General features: G+C 44.2%; 1 annotated feature.

Moving 5' to 3' along the window:
• Positions 278–327: an enhancer, noted in NCBI's record as "active region_13313". NCBI's record gives its function as "activates an Ori minimal core promoter by ATAC-STARR-seq in GM12878 lymphoblastoid cells {active_cell/tissue: GM12878}" and the evidence as "EXISTENCE:reporter gene assay evidence [ECO:0000049][PMID:35858748]".

Below are 4,873 nucleotides of genomic sequence, written 5' to 3'. Positions count from 1 at the left end.
ATCTTGGGTTTGGTTCTCCCGAAAGCAGAGCCCGAGATGAGGACTTGGGTGCAGTTAGATTATGTGGTCAGTGATCCAGGAAGCAGAGGTAGGGAGGCTGCAGGGAAGGAACCATGACAAGAATGTGCTACAGAGAGGTTGTCACTGCAGATAACTGGGTCTCATTGCACCTGGGGACCTGCTGAGGAACTGTCTAGAAAGCCTCTCAAGTTTGAAGTGCACAAGTGCACAATGCTGGGGCATTGATCTCCCCACTCTTGCCCGCTTTGGTCAAGGGTTGTCTCTAGGGGCACTGACCCCCCACACCAGGTGGGGAGGCGTACAGAGGCTGTGAGGGACTCCCTCCTAAGCCACCCTGTCCAAAGCTCTATTAAGCACCTGTGTTTGCTGCTGCCACCTTGTGGTCCTATCTTTCTCCTTGATCAGCCTCAAATCCCTCTAAGCCTGGCAGAGAGGCAGAGGGAAACCTACCGTCAAAGGTGTGATCTTTAACTTAATGACCAGAAGACAGGAAGGGGCAAAATGTCTCGCTCTTCAACCCCACATAAGCCCTGGAGGTTTATGGAGATGAGGGGGCCACCATCCAGAAGGGGAGGAGGACAGGCGAGCTCCTGGAGACAGGAGGATGTATCACCAGGCAGCCTAGTGTGGTGTCTTTGGGTTCAGAGATCCCAGGGCCACACTGTTTGGGACCTCACTACTGCCAGGCCTATCTTATCAACAGGGGACAGCTGTGGGATGAAGTTGCACCGGGTATGCAAAGCAGGCAGGCTCTAGATGGCTAAACATTTGCTTGTTTGGGCTATATTTAAAATTGAATATATCAACATTTGCATATGGTGTCAGCGGGCTGATCTAATGAGTCTCAGCCAACAGTAAATAAATAAACAACCTTGGTGCCAATGCACAGAGGCCACTGTTAGCTCACTTTTGTGATAATCTGAGCAACCCATATCCAGCTGTGCTGAACTGACAGTCACTGGTCTCCAAACGGACAGCCCCACCATTTCCCCGCATCTAAGCCTTCACTGAGAGTGCTGTCTCCCTCCTGCAGCCACCCGGTGGATTCTAGCCTTTCCTCTCCTGAGAGCCCAACTCAACACCATCTACTCAGGCTACCCAGACATCCTAAAGGCTGCCTGCCACCCTACTCTCTCCAGCTCTTTCTCTTTTTTATCAGGTCAGCTGGGATCCGACCTACATCCGCTACTAGACCATGAGCTGTCGGAGGGAAAGGGTACTAGGGACTAAGCTGTATCCTCCCAAAATTCATCTGCTGAAGCCCTGCCCTCCATGTGACTATATTTGCAAATGGAGCCTTCAGGGAGGTTATGAAGGTTTAATGGGCTCCAAATGGCTGGTGTCCTTATAAAAGGAGGAGACACCAGAGCTCTCTCTTGCACACACAGTGAGAAGACTGCAGACAGGACTCCCCAGAAACCAGCTCTGCGGGCACCTTGATCTTCCAGCTTCCAGAACTATGAGAAAATAAATGTCTGTTGTTTAAGCCACCTAGACTGTGGAACTTTGTTATGGCAATTCAAGCTGACTAATACAGAGACCTATTTCATTCTCCTTTAAATCTCTTGCAGCATCTAGAACAGCGCCAGGCACACAGAAACCCCTCAACAAATGTTGACTACATTGAATTGTAATCCCCAGGTGAATGAAAGATGTGATGCTGCTGGGGCCCTGGATCTGAAATCTCTGACAAATCCCGAAGCCAATCCTGGTCCATGTACACCGGAGAAGATAGCCAGGGTCTGCCAGCCCTCACTCAAAACTGCAAAACCCAAAACGCTCTGAAACCAGAAGGTGTGATGCCAACCCTCATTTAGCAGCAAAGTTTGACCTGAACAGGAGTAAAGCTACTTAAAATTATCTCACTAGATTTTACTATAGCACTATTAATGATTTTGATTACCGGCCACCACCCCAGCTCTGGCAGGAAGTGTTATAAAATCTATAGTTTAGGCATCATACCACCTTTCTAGAATCAAAAAAATGCAAAATTCCAAAAACCCATCTGGCCCCGAGGGATTTGGATAAAGAACAGTGAACCTGTGCTATAGACAGGGTTAATACTAACCTCACAGCTGTCCACTCAAGGAAGAATATGAAAAACACTAATTACCCAGTGTGTAAATAAATTGCAATTGCAATTTGGACAGAAGGGGAAATAACTTTATTCTAAACTGGGGAGGTGTGTGATTGGAAATGAAACATGTTTTTTAACGTGAATGCTACAGATGCCAGTGGGGTTTTTCTTTCCTTTTTTTCTTTTTATTTTTTTGAGCAGTTTATTTCATCAGCCTACAAAATGTGCTGAGTACAGTTTTTAAACATGTAATGAAAAAGTACAAAACTACCTTGGAAAATAGCATCAGTGCAGTTTAAAGTCCAGTTGGCTTTTTATAAATTGCACTTAACAACTGGAGAAATCAATAACAAATACAATTATAAGGACACTAAAAAGTATTCATTATCATTATCAGCATTGCTACCACAAATAATATGAATAAAATTCATTTGCTGAATGTATATAGTATATTTTTAGCAGAGCATCTCAAAACTTTTTGGTAACTAGTGCAATCTCAGCTGTGTGAACCCTCTGCTAAGCCCTATGGGGCATACAGAGTAAAAACGACATAATTTCTGCCCTGGTGGAATTTGTAGTCTCACTGAAGATCAAAACCTAGGACAAGAAATAATTAAGAATAATGCAAGTCAGTATCTAATGAGTGTGAAATACAGTAAGTGCATGCAACAGACTTACTTGTGCTAAGAAGGCTTCAGAATTTGTATGTAGCCTGCGTTTAAAAGGGCATCTGGCTGGAAGACAGTGTTACGGAATGTTTCTTGAGGCTGCGTTTGAATAGCAGTATGCTGTTTTGTTTAGATTTTGTGTTTATTTTGAGTGGCTTGGAGGAGGAGCTTTTGGTAACTTGACAGAGGGTGGTACTATGCAAGTCACACTTTAGAGTCACGCCACTGCTGCTTGGGTTTTTTTGGAAAAGGGAGAGGTTTATCATGGCTGGGACCATCAGTTCTGGAAGTCTTCCAGGAAAAAGGTGCACTGGAGCTGGACTTACAGGTTGGGTGGACTGTCGATGGCCTAGAGAAGGAAGAAGGCATTTGGAGTTGAGTGTTGGGGCAGGTCACAGTGAGAAATGGACTTGACTCAGTTGGAGAAATCTATCTTGGGGGCAGGAGATCAGAGCATTCATTCTCAGACAGACCAGAAAGACCCATTCACAAATGAGAAAAAGGGAGTCTCCTATATCTCACCAGACTTCAAGAGAAATTAATTGCCTGCAGAATTTCAGTAACTGCAGACCCCACGTTGGGCATGATTCATAACCAACCTATTGCACCTCCTTTCTCACTAAGGGCACGGTCTTGACTGTATTGTTTACACTATTAGAGGTAATCATTTGGACTCGTAGCTTAAGGAAGAGGATGCCACACCATTAGTAACAGGCAGCAGGGTGCCTGCAGAGCCTTAGCAGCGTCGAAGTCCAGTCGAGAGGCCATATTATCCAGAGCAGCAGAGTCAACCCCGCCTTGACTGTTGCAAAATTAAATGAGATGATACAGCAGAGGGCTGGCACTCTACAAATGCTAAGTGCTGCATCTCAACAACTGAAGCATTGCAGCCCATAATACGTATCATATTCTTCCAGTGAAATTGTGTAATTTCCCAGAAGTGCTCAGTTTCTATTCCTAGTTAAGTTCATTCTGGTCTGGAAGAACAATTTTTTTTTCCCTCAAGGATCTAACATCTTTTTGATGCCATCATTATTCCTTAACAATAGCAATGCACATTTGTTTGGTGTTTTGCAAGCCTGTCTAGTTTTACTTGGTCCTCACCATAGCCCATAGGCACTAGACAGGGATGCTTTTCCTTTTTTAAATTGAGGTATAACATGCATGCAGTAAAACGTGTCAAGTGTACAGCTTGGTGAAGTTTTACCTATGTTTGCTCCTGTATAGCCCCACCAGCTGAAGATACAGAGCATTTCCAGCATCTCACAAGGTTCTCTCACGCCCCTTTCCAGTCATTGTACCCTCAGAAATAACCACTCTTCTGACTTCTAACACCATCCATTCATCTTACTGGCTCTTGGACTTCATGTAAACAGAATCATACAGAATGCAGTCCTCTGTGCCTGGTTTCTTTCACTCAACATAATGTCTATGCGATTCATCATGTTGCTGCATATTTTAGCAGCTCATTCTTTGTGAGTACTGGGTAATGTTTCATTGTGTTTCAGTATGCCACAGTGTATCCATTCTTTTGTAGGAAAAGATTATTAAACAAATTTACAAAGGAAGAAACCCAGGACCAGAGTGACTAAGTCCCTGGCTCCAGATGGCACAGGTAGGAAGGTCAAGATTTGAACTCAGCATATTTGGCTCCAAATTCCATGCCCTTTCTAAGGTGCCACGCTGAAGCGGTGCTTCTAGAAACTTTTTTGGGGGCTTGCAGAATTTTGAACTACATGATTTATAGTCTCTTAAATCACTGGCAGGGAATAAGTAGTTCAGTCAATAAGCAAAAGCAAAAACTAAAAATCCCATTTTGGTGGGAATCTTCATGTGAAAATGTGGCCATGTATTTAAAATGAACACCGAGCACATGGTTGGCTTTGAATAAATGCTTAATGGTCCTGAGCCATATGGAAGAAGAGGAGGTGGAGAAGAAAAAGTCTGGGAGTGGTGAATGAATTCAATTCTCAACTCTACATTTACAGCTACAGTGTAAGCAAGACTGGGAGAGAGGTACCATTTTTTTCTCGCAGAGTGGTCAGTCTGCAGTGGACTAGCCTGGGGTGTGTGTGTCTGTGTGTATGTGTGTGAACTTAGCATGCCA

The sequence above is a fragment of the Homo sapiens genome, chromosome 18 (genome assembly GCF_000001405.40).
Source record: "Homo sapiens chromosome 18, GRCh38.p14 Primary Assembly".
NCBI lineage: Eukaryota > Metazoa > Chordata > Mammalia > Primates > Hominidae > Homo > Homo sapiens.
The sequence above is the reverse complement of the archived record's forward strand: the minus strand, read 5'-3'. Positions and strand labels throughout refer to the sequence as shown.